The 15,085-nt window shown below is 36.6% G+C and overlaps 1 protein-coding gene across 23 annotated transcripts in view; it reads right to left on the bottom strand.

The window, feature by feature from the left end:
* Nucleotides 1-15,085, bottom strand: part of VPS8 (VPS8 subunit of CORVET complex) — a 240,449-nt gene that overhangs the window by 110,820 nt on the left and 114,544 nt on the right. For all 23 annotated transcript variants that reach the window (NR_146113.2, XM_047447824.1, XM_024453426.2 and 20 more), the window contains 5 exons: nucleotides 13,262-13,344; nucleotides 12,131-12,215; nucleotides 11,227-11,325; nucleotides 5,460-5,549; nucleotides 1,552-1,598 (listed from right to left, as the gene is read on the bottom strand). Coding sequence is in view for 22 of the 23 variants with exons in the window: in XM_047447824.1 (XP_047303780.1) it covers nucleotides 1,552-1,598; nucleotides 5,460-5,549; nucleotides 11,227-11,325; nucleotides 12,131-12,215; nucleotides 13,262-13,344 (404 nt within the window). In the remaining variant the exon portion in view is untranslated. The remainder of the gene's footprint in view (nucleotides 1-1,551; nucleotides 1,599-5,459; nucleotides 5,550-11,226; nucleotides 11,326-12,130; nucleotides 12,216-13,261; nucleotides 13,345-15,085) is intronic.

The following is a 15,085-nucleotide window of genomic DNA, read 5'->3' as shown; positions in this document are numbered from 1 at the left end:
AGCAGAGGAAAAGGACTTGATTAAAATAAATTATCCTAAGGGCAGAGCAGTGAATGGATCTAACACTGGGAAAAGTATGGGAGAGGAAAAGAGGGAACTGTGCCACAGAAAAAGAGGTGGGCAGGCTCTGGAGAAAGGGCTGAGAAGTGGGGCTGGCGTTTCCTTCCTCCTCCCCTGAGCTCCATCCTCTGCCCTACTTTCATGTCTCCCCCTCCCAGCTCTCCCTACCTCTACCCACATTCCTTTCTTCCCTCCCACTCCCAACTCCAATTCTAAAATCTTTCCATCAGTTAATTCTGGGAGTAGAAAAGGGCCCGAACTGACTCTGAGGGAAATACACATGATTAATAGGAATTTAAAAAAAAAAAAAAAAAAAGGATGTCTACCCTCAGTAATAATCTGAGGACAGAGAATTAAAATACAGATACTTTGAAAAGGTCTTGAACACAAGTGGAGGGGGCTTTGTAATCAGTCTGCTTTTAGTAAACATCTACACATACATATTCGTTTGACTAAATTTAAATGTACCACAGCCTATTCAAGATTTAAATGGTTGAGCTTTCAAAAAAATTTTACAACCAACAAAATTACTGGTATTTTGGTATTTTAAAATCTCACAGAACACGGAAATAACCAAAGCTGATATTACAATTGCTAACGTAAGTAAATAGTTGTTTTCAATGGCCAGCATATATTATAATGAAACCTAAAGTTTGTATGTCTGATATGAAAGCTATGTCATCTTGGAAAATTACACGTAAACCATGCTTAACTCTAGGTGTGCATCAAAATATTCCAACTCCCAGTGATTCTGTGGGTTGGGACAAGCCATCTGAATTTTTAAAAGCTTCGTAGGTGATTCTGATGCACACTACTAGTCAAGAGTAGCTATCTTAGAGGATATTAAATATTACTGCCCTCAACTCCCAATGTACTCTATGTAGTTACAGCAAAACTTTAAAACCTCATATGCAGCACTGCTTTGCCTACAAATCCATTATTAATTTCATCATCTCCTTGAGTTTGCTTTTATTTGATATAAACATCAGAGTAGCTGTTGAAAAAACACATTTAAACTTTCCTTCCCACACCATCAGGAAGTTGTTTAAAACTAAACATATTAAGTCAGAGTTTAAAAGGTAATACATTTAGAGGTGGGCTGGGAACCAAGTGTTAACTTTGGAAAGTAGAGCCACCATCAATCACCCACATGAAGTTAGGAGTAGGCAAGAGTGAAACAAGGGCAGGAGGGGGAAGCTAACTCTTCTGAAACATGTCCTTGTGGCATGGCTTCATTATTTTATTTACACCCATGAGAACTCACCATATATGCTCATGTTCAAATGGAAAGAAAAGTATTATCTCAAGATATAATCTATCGTTCAGATCTTCTATTTTCACATTATCTGTGTAACAGTTGCTCCTACTAATATAAAAAATTAAGAGCTAATTGTATTATTTAGATACCATGGGCTGGTAACTTTATTTATTTCCTTTTATTTCTCATATATATATATATATATAATGAAAGACTAAAGTTTGTCAACATACCTTGGGTCAAGAAGACTCCTCAAAAATTTGAAAAGCAAAACCTGGTTCTGAACAGAAAAACAATAAAAATTACAATTAAATATTAAAACAAATTTTTCAAATATTCCATGGTAAAGAACTACTTTAACCTATCCCTTTATGCACAGATATCTGAGTATTTCCACAAAGCCCTCTGTACAGATCTAAGAAATTCTAAAGAATCATCTGGAGGTTATGTCTTCTCAATAATTCTAATCACTGTCGCACATTCACTTCTCAGTGTAAACGGAACACAAACACCCTATTATCGCCCAAAACAGACCTCTACTGAGACAAATCCTCGAGCTGTTCCCAGCACAAGGACCCTCGGAGTGGCAGGTGCTTGGAACTGCTCTGTGGATGCTGAGCTCTGGATGCACTGATCAGTTTCACCTTGCCTTAACCTGGTCCTCCTGTGGCAATGGGTTGCTGTGAGATAGTTCATCCAGGGAGGGTGGGAGTTTGAGGTCCAAGTTAACAACCACCACCAAAAAAGTTCATGAATATCAACAACTACAGAAGAGATGCCAATCAAACTGCAACATGTTAGCAATCAACATGCCATAAAATCTGGGTTCTGTTTTTGCCATTTACTCACTTACGTGACTTTCTGTAAGTTACTTATCCTCTGAGCAATTCAATTTCCTTATGTGGAAAAAAAAAAAAAAAAAGAGGACAGCAATATCTTCTCTGCCTTCCACATTGGGTAGTAGTGAGGGTTAAATGAGATAAACCTTCAAATACTACAAAAATATGAATATTTCTAAATTCTTGGGAAACCTATGCAAAAATTGTTATTGTTTAGTTTTTCTTTGTTTTTTTATTTTTTGACAAATTCACACTTTATCTGTAAAAAATGGGGGACTCTTAAAGATGAAAAAGATTAATATAAAATATGATTTAAAAATATATTTATTTTTATCAGTCTGATTTTCTATTTTTTCACTATCACTTTGTGTTATTTTACATGACTTTCTTCTCAGTTATAACATAACATTCTGGCAATTTTTCATTTTAAGAATTCTGAAAACAATTGGTCAGAGGCATATTTCTTGCCATCAAAAGTAAAGGTACTTTGTAAGATCTATGTGGGATTCTTGCACAATTTATAAAGCTATGCAATAAAGTAAATACTTCATTTCTTTAAAAGAAATGTCTAAGACTCCACAAACAGACCTTTTTTTTTTTTTTTTTTTGAGACAGGGTCTCACTCTGTCACCCAGGCTGGAGTGCACTGACATGATCACAGCTCACTGCGGCCTCAACCTCCTGGGTTCAGGTGATCATCCCACCTCAGCCTCCCGTACAGCTGGGACAAAAGGCACCCACCACCATGTCCAGCTAATTTTCTGGATTTTTTTGTAGAGATGGGGTTTCACCATGTTGCCCAGGCTGGTCTTGAGCTCCTGAGCTCAAGCGATCTGCCCGCCTGGGCCTTGCAAAATGCTAGGATTATAGGTGTGAGCCACTGTGCCCCGCCCATACTTTACTTTTATATATTTGTCTGATGAATGACATTATATTCACCTACTGGGCCTGTCTCTTAATATCCGTAGAGACTACAAAAAAAAAAAAAGAAAAAAAGAAAAGAAAAGAAAATCCTACAAGTGATCATTTTAAATCTTAAAGGACAATGACAACACAGCCACCACCACAGGCAAAATTTACCAGAAGTGCTGACTTTTAAAGGGGAGAGAAGCTCTGGAGGTTGAGAGTAGTTTTGGTAGAAACCTCCTCCTACCCTCCCTCACTAGACTGGATTTCATGTCCTTCCGTGTACTACTTCAGTATCCTGGGCTCCATTAGCATTCCAATCAAGCTAGTCTGTAATTGTCTTTTGGCTTATTTGTCTTCTTCCTAGAGAGCAGGATCACACTTACATGTTTTTGTATCCTCAGCACTTAATGTTTTTGGCCCAGAGCAGGTATTTATTGAATTAATCGGTGAGTCTTTTTCTTGAGTTAATGGACCTCATCATTATCATGCTGGACAACCAAGCCTGATATCTGGGAGTTGTTTTTAACTCCTCCCATCACATTCAACTGATTTCCAGATCCTATACATTTTACTTCACAAAAATGTCCTAAATCTGTCCTCTCCAACTGCCACTGACTTAGTGCTAGTCCTCTCCATCTTTTGCCTAGACCTTCTTCTCTCTCCTCCATTTGCTCTCCTTTCCAGTCCATTCTCCCCACTGCTATCCGAAGTTCATTTTCTGTAAAATGGATCTAATGATACTGCTCTTTAGCTTTAAAGAACTTCAATAATTCTCAGTACACAGAAGACAGTTTAAATTTCATAGCATCACATGTGAAACCGTTTCGTATTTGTCTCCAAGCTGTATTTTGCAACCCCTCTAGTTTAGCTCCTCCCCTCCAGCCTATCACTAGTAGCTTAACCTAATGCCACTTCCACCATCACCCCCTGCTGACGTCATGCTTCACACAGACCTGACTGTTCTCTGAACATGCATGCTGCTTTATGCCTTCAAGGCTTTTATACCCAGAACCTTTTTATTAAGAAAGCCCTGCCCAAGTCTCTGCTTGGAAATCTGACATTAGGCATTCAAGACCAGATTAGGGATCTCTGGGCATTCTTGTCTTTCTCGCAATCCATCACCCTCTTCTCTTGTTCCTACAGTACTTTTCACATATCTCTAGTGTAGCTCTTTCAACACTGGACTATAATTATGCAAGTGCTTCTCTGTTCTAGAGGAAAAATTTAAGAAAAGGTTGTATTCTTATTTCTGTCCCTAGGGCCTAGCACACTGGTAGAGAGTAGAGCAGCACTAAGTGTTCGAATGAATGAATTCCATATTTTTGTCTCTCATGCCAGCTACCTCCTACTCACTGCTCTGATTTCCTTCTTGCACAGCTATTCCCAACCACTATTAATGTCACTTGAGGACTCTGGGTGGTGCTTCATGTCCCTGTCATTGTCCTATTCCCTGCCTCTATCACTTGTGGCTACAATGACAGGGAGCAAACTCAACATCAGCACGGCCATGGTAAGTGGTAAGTGGAATACCTTAAACAGTCCATTCAATAGTACTTCTAACTGAGCTTCTCAATATTTACCATGCATATAGCTGTATTCCAGTTAAGATTTTCCAAGAAACATTCTAAACAGCACAATTTCAGGATGACAAAGTTTTGAATAAATATGAATCTCAAAGAAAACAGGGTTGTGGCCCAGATGTGGTGGCTCACGCCTGTAATCCCAGCACCTTGGGAGGCCGAGGCAGGCGGATCATGAGGTCAGGAGATCAAGACCAACCTGGTAACATGGTGAAACCCTGTCTCTACTAAAAACACAAAAAAATTAGCCAGGCATGGTGGCAGGCATCTGTAGTCCCAGCTACTCAGGAGGCTGAGGCAGGAGAATGGCTTGAACCCGGGAGGCGGAGCTCGCAATGAGTGGAGATCACACCACTGCACTCCAGCCTGGGTGACAGAGCGAGACTCCATCTCAAAAAAAAAAAAAGAAAACGGGGTTGTGGATCCTACAGCAAAAGAAAATGGGAGAAGGGAGGATCTGTGGATTAGGATTTCTAGGATAAGTACATTATAGTTCCAGAAATGCTTCTTTGAAGCTCATATTTGTATGCACAAAGATGAACTCCCTCATTTCCAAACTAAGAGATCATCATACAACTGCTCCCAACCACACACACACACACACACACACACACACACACACACACACACACAGTATTAGGTTGGTGCCATTAAAGAAATGGCAAAAACCACAATCACTTTTGCACCAACCTAATAGAAACTGCTAATAAATGTCAACTGAAGAAATCACTACAATCAAAACTTCTTAGGTGACGATTTAATAATTGTCTTTCCACTAGATATTTTTCCCCAATATATATTTGCAATATGTACCTGAAGTTTTTTAATGACCGTTTCAATATGTCCAGAAAAGTGGGTGGCAACCAGCTCCGCAGCTTTACAAGGCTTCAGGGACACGAGTTCCTGGAGTTAAAGGAAAAGACAAAGCCATCTCTAATGGCTCATTTAAACAGCATATCCACAGATGTGAGGCACGATTACCTACCTCAATACAGTCGCAAGCTTCCATGCTGCATTTCAGCAGACCTTGATATAGGGCCTCAATTTAAAGCGCACTTTGCAAATGAGCAAAATTAGAAATGTGCCATGTAAAAAAAAAAATCAAAATTTCATTTAAAGAAAGGTAATTCAGAATTCTTAGAAAATGAAAGCACTATAGAATTCTGGATTTCAGCCATGATACCTGCAGGAGAAACAGAAGGAGCAAAAGCTTCCCAAATTTCCTGTCAATGCATTTCACCCTGGAGCTTAAAGTAATAACTTGAAGAAACGAGAAAGAATAGTTGTAATTTATCTGGCCGAGAATTTTAAAACTTTACTTCTGGTGCCTAGTGGATTTAGAAACTGCAAGCATTTTAAGAAATAAACTTCAGGTCTTAAATTTTATATGAGAGTAAAATGTTGACCACTTTTAATTAAACATTGTTAATAAAATGTATTTGTCAAATATAAGACTTTTAATTTGACCTCCCCTTGGACTTTCCTGGACACTACTGACTATCCTTTTCTTTTTAAAACTCTCTTCTTACTTGGTTTCTGTCACCTAATATTCTACCTTTCCAATTGTACCTTCTCTGTGGGGACACTATGATCAAACACAACCACAATACACGGCTAAAACACAAAGACCAAATGTAGACCAAAATAGGTATTATTAAATAAAACTCAGACAAACCACTATGACTGCAACATTCACAATGTATCTCTTAATTATTGTGTTAGGTAGTACTTGTAGATTCATAATAATTAGCTGCCACAAATAACTGTAGTTTACATAACTTTAATGCAATACTCCTGATGAGTGAGAAGGTATAACTAAATATTACAAAGGAGACACTACTACTGATCTGTAGCCATTCAAAAACAAGCTACGATGAATGAATTTATGCCAAGAATTTGGAAATTCAGACAAAATAAATTCCTAAAAAGTATAATTTAATAAACTGACTTGAGAAGAAATAGCCTGAATTGATTTTTTTTTTTGGTAGAGACGGGGTCTTGCTATGTTGCCCAGGCTGGTCTGGAAGTCCTGGGATCAAGAGATCATCCTGCCTCGGCCTCCCAAAGTGCTGGAATTACAGGCATGAGCCACCGTGTCTGACCCTGATTTGATTTTTAACCATTAAAATAACTGAGTGAGTAGTTTAAAAACTTTCCATATGAAAAACTGTAGGGTCAAATAGCCTCACTGGTAAGTTCTAGCAACCATTTAAGGAAGAAATAATTCCAGCCTTAACTAAACCTCTTACAACAGAGAATAGAAAAAAGAAAAATTCTTCAGCTCATTGTAAGAGGCTAGTAACATTTTGACACCTTAAACCCAATAGGACAAAATTACAGATCAATCTGAATCACAAATATTGATATAAACATCCTAAATAAAAATGAAATTCAGCAATGTATAAAAATAATATATCAGGATCAAGCTGCACTTATCTGCAAAAATCAAGGTTGGTTTAATACCAATAAAATTTAACACAAAAACAGAATAAGGAAGAAAACATGATAAAATTCAAAATCCATTCATGAGGAAACTCTTGGCATAGTAGAAATAGAAGAAAACTTCCATAAAAATCCTTACAGTAAACATACTTATGTTGGAAATGAAATTTTTAAAAATGCCATTAACAACAGCATTAAAAATATGAAGTTGTGACAGTAAGTATAACAAAGGATGGGGCTGGGCGTGGTGGCTCATGCTTGTAATCCTAGCACTTTGGGAGGCCAAGGTAGGTGAATCATTTGAGGTCAGGAGTTTGAGACTAGCCTGGCCAACATGGCAAAACCCTGTCTCTACTAAAAATATAAAAATAAGCTGTGCGTGGTGGCCATATCTGTAATCCCAGCTACTTAGGGAGGATGAGGAGGGAGAATCATTTGAACCCAGGAGGCTGAGGTTGCAGTGAACCTAGATGGTGCCACTATACTCCAGCCTGGGCGACACAGTGAGTGAGACTCTGTCTCAAAAAAAACAAAACAAAACAAAACAAAAACAAAGGATGGAAATTCCCCACAGAGAGCACTATAAAACTTTATAGGAAGATATTAAATAAAGGATTATACCATACAGTCATAGATATGAAGACTCAATATTGTAAAGATTGCAAATTATCTTCAAAATTATTGATAGATTCAGTGCAATGCCTGTCATAATCACGAAGTTAAAAAAATTTTGGTGGAACTTGATAAGTTGATTCTAAAATGTATTTGGAAGTATCAAAAGTCAATAATAGCCAAGATTCTGTTAAAGATATCAAGACTCATTATACAGCAACAATATTAAATATAGTGTGGTACTGATGCAGAGATGGACAAACAGACCAATGGAACAGAAGGCCCAGAGAAACAGACTACACATATAGATCCTTGATATACTCATCACAAAGGTAGCATTGCTGAGCAACAGGAAAAAGCAACCTTTAAAAATAATTGCTGCTGGGAAAATTGGGCATCTGTATTCTAAAAACTTAACTCGACTTCCATCTCATACTATGCACAAAAATTACTTTCAGGTGGAACTCAGAGCCAAAGATTAAAAAGAAATAAGAAAGCAAGCAGGACATAAAGAGGGGGGGAAATGATTATTTTGACCACTTAAAAACACACACACACACACACACAAAGATCGAAAGGAAAAGCCACAGAATGGGAGATGGGAGAAGATATTTGCAATATATATTGCTGATAAAAGACTAACATCCACAATACATAAAGAAATCTTCCAAAACAGTAAGTATGAGACATTTCAAACAGAAAAGTGGGCAAAAAACTTCAGCAGGCACTTCACAAAAGAGAAAATTTAAATGCCCAATAAACATATGAAAAGGCTGTCAGTCTTATTAGTAATTAAGGAAAGGTAAATGTAAAACATAATTAGGTATCATTACACATCCACTAGATTGGGAAAGATTTAAAGTCTGCCAAGGATATAGAGTCCATAGGAACTCTCATACAGTGCTGGCATCCAGTGAAATTTAAAATATTAATCTCAACTAACTAGGAATTATATACACTAGAGCAGAGATTATGAGTTAGCATACATCAGAATAATGTAGGGGATTGCTGGGCCTCACCCCCAGAGTTTCTGATTCAGGAGGTCTGAGGTGGAGGTCCAAACTTTGCATTTCTATCAAATTCTCAGCTGATGCTGTGATGTTGGTTTGGGGATGAAACTGAGAATCACTGCCTTAGAGAAATGTATGTGGCTATGCTCAAGATGCACATATACGGATGATTGTGAACAGACTGTTCTTAATAGTTAAAACTAGAAACAACTGAAATGCCTAGCAGCAGTAGAATGGATAAACTGTGATATACTTATAAAATGTAATACTATACAATAAAAATCAACTGCAGCTATGTAAAACAAAAGGTAAAATCTTCTCAAACAAAATACTGGGCAAAAATAAGAAAATAAAGTATGATTTCATTTTCACAAAGTTCAAGAATAGGCAAAACAAAAACATATATTTAGGGATGCATGCACATGCAGTAACAGTATACAAAAAGGTAAGAAACTGTCACAAAAACCAGGATAATGGCTGTGTGGGGGAAGGGGGAAGAAAGAACTGTGATCAGAAAAGAATATGTGGGAAAAGTCGGAGGTATGGAAATATCATATTTCTTGTTGAGGACCTAGGATGTTTGCTTTTCCATTTTTAATTAAGCTATACATTTGTTTTATGTACTTTTTTGAATGCTTTATAAATTTCAAAATATAACATGTCAACACAATCTAATGAAATCTTTCATATTCAAAAAACCATCTGAACCAGAGATTGGTCATCTAAGAAAGACTTTCAGGGATCTGTATATCCCTGAAACTTTAAACAGAATCATGTATCTATGTACATGTGCAATATTACGAGGCATCAATCTTTCATTAGAGTCTCAAAAAAAGTGTTAAGAACCACTAAGCTATAAACTAAGTGTATCTTGTCAGAAAACTTCATTATGATGCCTTTTTGTCCTATGTATTTAATGTTGATTATATTTACATTACTGAAGACACAGAAGTCCTTCAACAAAAGCTTATACACCTGTCATTGTGGCCTTAAGAGATTAAAAAGTTCAAGGTGAAAAAATATGCAGATGTGGGAAAAACTAGTCAGCAAAAGTAATTATTGTGTAGCAAAAATACTTCTTGCTCCCCTAGCTTGAGTTTTTTGCTGAGCAATGTTTGCTCATTGATTAATTTATCACATTTCACATAATGCAGAGATGTGGCTTCATTTTTGATGTCTGGAATCCATGTGCTCAAACCACTGTATAATGCAGATGAGGTGAAATGAGAACTGAATCATAATATAACCATGGAGACTTAAAGAGGAGGATGAAAAAGAATACTAAATGATTAAAGGGAAAAAATATAAAACACAAAATCAGAGAATGACTTGTTGGGTTATTTTACCAAGATATATTCATCTTGTTGTTAGCAGAAATATAACAACACTAAATAACATATTCCATGTTCTCAATCCTATATACAGCAGTGTGGAAATTACTTCAGACCACATATCTCATGACTGGCTATACTACCTTTCGTGCCAGTTATTTCACAAGAAGATGTTGTTCACACCTCTGATCTTTCTAAACTTTACAACCTTCGGGAACTAAAACAAAGTATCCACATCATATCCTTTCTTATAGTTTTTCATATCTATAAAAAATGTTCAAACATGTTGAATAATCGTATCTTTACTACATCTCCAAATCCACCACCTGACTCTTGCTATAAGAAGAATGAGAGCAACTCTGTAGATATAAATGTTATTTCCAAAAGTAGGATTACCTCAGTTTAAATGTTATTTCCAAAAGAGGATTACCTCTTTTCTTACTACTTTTTTTCAATCATCAGAAATAAACAGAATAGATAAAATAACATAAAACATAAAAATAAGAGATTTCAACAAAACTGCTAGTTCTGTTGGATTCTGGGGTAAGGAGTATGTTATGAACATAAGGAAACTAAAGTAAGAAGTGATTTTTGGGTCCCATTTCAGAACACATTGTGATCACAGCCCTCATCACGCAAGTAGTCTATTTGTATATCTAGAAGCATTGTTTCTTAATAGGAACTTTTTGTTTCAATAGAAGTGAATACTTGCATCCTCTGTAAAATAGCAGGCATCAACAAAATCAGTGAATTAGCTGACCACAGCTAGGTCAGAATCATCATCCTGTTATATAAGGAAGAGAAACACATCAGAGAGAAAACTCATTGCAGTAATTTTTCTAAAAGTCCATTAGATGATTGGAGGGAATGGCACTCATCACATATTAGGAAAAAAGGACAAGCAGTACTCTCAGAATCATTCTATGAACTTTGTAAAAATGCATTAATAATAGTTTGTCACTGGCTGATTGAACATGGGCTAGTTTCAGAAGTCATGATGTAATAGATTGCATGTGACACAGACTTTATGAATACAAATATGAGGTAGAATAATTACACGAAAAAGATTTCAACCCTAAATTAAATCAACTTAATATGATACATGCCATTGCTTCGTTGGCATAAAGTTAACTTGGGTTAGATGATCGTTCAGATGGTGAAGTGTGAAGTTTTGCGCATCAGTACCTCAATATGATCCATTGCTTTCTGCCATACAGACTGCTTCTCCTCTGCACTGTGTCCGGGAATGGATAAGATATTGTGAATGTAATTAAAGACTTCTTCCTGAAGAGCACAAGACAATATAATTTATTCATTCACTCACTCAAGATTTAGTCCCTACCAACTGAACCAGTCTTGGTAAACATCTATTATCTGAAGATGAAAAATTATCTGGAGATAGTTAACTGATGGAAAACTCTGTCCCTAAAAATAAAGAGTAATTGTTTAAAATTTAGGGTAGACTCTTAGAAGCAAAAAATCAGTTCTAATTAATTTTGGTTTGAATTTATTAATCTTCAGTGACCTAATGAAGGAGTATCACACTTTGGCTTTTGGGGATCCCATTGTCCACATTCCCAATTTCAGCAGAAACCACTCCTGCCCTTGTCTATTATGCTCCACCTATACTGATTTTCACTTCATCTATATGATCTCTACTCAGCTCCTTGAACATGTCAATTTTCCCCACCTCAGGTCTCTTGCATATACAGTTACCCATCCTGGAACACTCTTCTTGGCTCTTTCCTTCACTGGCTTCTCAAATTCCAAAACTCAGTTTATATGTCACTTTCTCTGAAATTCCTTCCCTGGCTACTCTGTGTAAGTCAGTTCCCCATCATCCTCTAAAGTAGCACTCGGTTTCTCTTCCCTAGCATTTATCCCAATTTGTAATCATATTTGACTTTGTTTACTGTCAGTTTCCATCACTAAATTATACATTCCAAAACTGCAAGAACTGTATCTGTTTTAATTATCAATGTGTATTTGGCTCATACACATGCGCAAATATTTCTACTCAACAGTTATTTGTACTCAATAAGAGGGAAAGTTGAGTAAGAAAAAAGAGTAAAGCAGTATCTTGACTCACCTCTCGCAGAGGGTCACGTAAGTAGCAATCAATAATTTTATCATATTGGTGTTCTCTTTCATACATAAATTCACAAATTTGATAGCTAGAATGTAAAGGGAAAAACTTCAGTGTACCAAACAGGGAGGTTTTTGAGACATTTGCTCTGGCACACAGGTTAGTATTAGGAAAAGTGGGCCAGGTGTCCTGGCTCATGCTTATAATCCAAGCACTTTGGGAGGCTGAGGCAAGAGGACTGCTTGAGACCAGGAGTTTGAGATCAGCCTGGGCAGCATAGCAAGACCCCGTCTCTACAAAAAAACTAAAAGCCAGGTATGGTGGCATGTGCCTGTCATCTGAGCTACTACGGAAGCTGAGGCAGGAGGATTGCTTGAGACCAGGAGGTTAAGGCTACAGTGAGCTATGATCGCACCACTGCACTCCAGCCTGGTCAACAGAGGGAGACTTTGTCTCAAAAGAAAAAAAAGAAAAATTAATATAGTAGATGTGATTTCTATTGTTAAATAAAGTTACAGTGAATAACTAAGGGAGATGAGTATTTGCCGTTAACCTTTAACTATAGGTTCAAGAGGCTGCTAAATATTATGTTTATAAAAAATTTCAATGCTGAATACAAAGGAAATACTAAAACAATAGTGTATCACATAAGAAATAGTGAATATGTTAGATATTAATTGATAATTTACAAAAATTTTACATAAAGTTCCTCTGTTCAGAATTACATGTCATATAAATACAGCATACTAGGTAAGTAGCAATGTGATCATATCATCTTATTTACTACGTCAAATACTGCATTGTCTCTAATATATCTAAGATAACCATCAACAATTTATGAAACATGGAAATATTAAAGAAAAAATCTAAAATAATAAAACATCATAAGACTATTTCACTTTATGTTTAAACAATTATATAAAAGTTTCATATCTGCCCTATCAATTTCTGCAAATTTTACTAATTTCTAGAATTCAATTAAAAGGGAAAAATTTTCACCCTTAGCTTTTTGTTATTTGTATAATCTTTCCTAATTAAAAAAGCAGCAATGTATCAATAAACTGAGCTTTAAGTTAAAGAAATATAATTTAATATTTCTATGGCAAACTAATATACAGCCTCAAAACAACTTACAACTCAGCTTTTTCTGCCATCCGGATGAGTCGACTCTCTTCAAATTGAACTATGCCTCCAGCCTGCAGCAATTCTAAAAGGACCTGAGTATTTACAATAAATGAGTAAAAACACTTGAGAATTTACTAGCTCTTTAAGAGTGCATTCAGCCATGCAGACTATAACATTTAATTTTTTTCTTTTGTATTCTTAGTTGATGATATTTTGGCTTGCTGTCACATATGGAAGGGGTTAGACTGACATTATAAACTTGATCATACTGCATTTAAGCCCTATAAAAAGATAAATGGCTCTGCTTTCCAAACATGGAAAGAACGCCACAGTGTTTACAAATAAAGCCCTATTAGACATTGAGCTGACTCTCTGCTAAGCTAAAATGTCCATATATATCTTTCAAGAAGTGAATTTTTATCTCACTTTTATGTCTTACGGTTCTTTACAATCTGTCTATCCACAGCTGGTATCCATGTTTACATGTTAATTTTTTAAAAATTAAGTATTGGGGCTTTTCATAGCAGCACTATTCAAAATAGCCAAAGGGTGGAAACAATCCAAATGGCCCTCAGTGGATGAATGAATAAACAAAATGTAGTATATGCATACAACGGAATACTGTTCAGTAGGAAGAAAACCTGATACATGCATGCTGCGGCATGGATGAACCTTGAACACATTCTGCCAAGTGAAATAAGCTAAATACAAAAGAACGAGTATTGTGACTGCACTTACGTGAGGGACCTAAGGTAGTAAAATTCATAGAGACTGGTAGTTACTAAGGGCTGGGGAGGAGAAAACAGGGAGTGGGAGTTATGATTTAATTGGTATGGTAGTTCAGTTTGGGAAGATAAAAGAGTTCTGGGGATGGATGGTGATGAGGATTGTACAATGTGAATACCACTGATGTATACACTTAAAAATGGTTAAAATGGTAAATTATGTGTTACGTCTATTTTACCACAATAAAAAGCAAACAAAAATATTGGAGCTCATAGAATTAATTTTTACAACACTAAGCAGCTGAAATGAGGGGGCCCATATACTATTTGTATTCAATATAATTTAAGAGATAACCAAAATTTTACCAGCTGTTCTTTTACCTAGGATACTCTGCAGCAGTCACTGGGCCATAGCTGTGCGGATAAAGGGGTCACTGTTGCTATCCGATAGTCTCAACTTCCCAGCTGCGTATGATTACCACAGTGCCATAAAGCCATACTTCAGCACAGCTCTCATGGTACTTAATTTTAGTAGTTTACTTACCTGACAAAATCTGGCTATCAATACAAAATGGGTTGACTCTCTTAGTGCCCACAATTATGGTGGGTATGCTTTTTAAAGAATCCTACTCCTCAAGGCAACCTCAAGAAAGTGGCATGAACAGAAAGAAGTGGTACTCAAACAGTTACTATCTCATGATAATTAGCGGAGGGACAGGTGGATTCTAGTCTCCAGAATGGTCAGCCCTAATGCAGTGGGGTTTTAGGGCACTCTCAAAAATTAGGTATGTCAATACTCAGGACCCTGCAGCTTTTTTGTTTCAGGACCACAGCAGCTAGCAGTAGTTACCAGATTAATGATGCCAATGGAATGCAGGGTACAAGAAGTCCTAGCTGTTGCTATATAATAGGGGAAGTTTCTTTGATGTCACGGTAGATACAAGACAGATCCAGTCTACCTAGGAATTTAGTTTGATATAAGCTTCTTACACATGTACCTCTAACAATCATCCACTCTATTTTCTGGTTCCCACTGACTCTAACTTCGTATTAGGGTTTGGCACAAGTAATTGCCCCTCATGTGTAGTGAGGTCTAGCACAGAAGAAT

The sequence above is a fragment of the Homo sapiens genome, chromosome 3 (assembly GCF_000001405.40).
Source record: "Homo sapiens chromosome 3, GRCh38.p14 Primary Assembly".
Lineage (NCBI taxonomy): Eukaryota > Metazoa > Chordata > Mammalia > Primates > Hominidae > Homo > Homo sapiens.
This window is presented reverse-complemented; position numbering and strand designations above follow the sequence as displayed.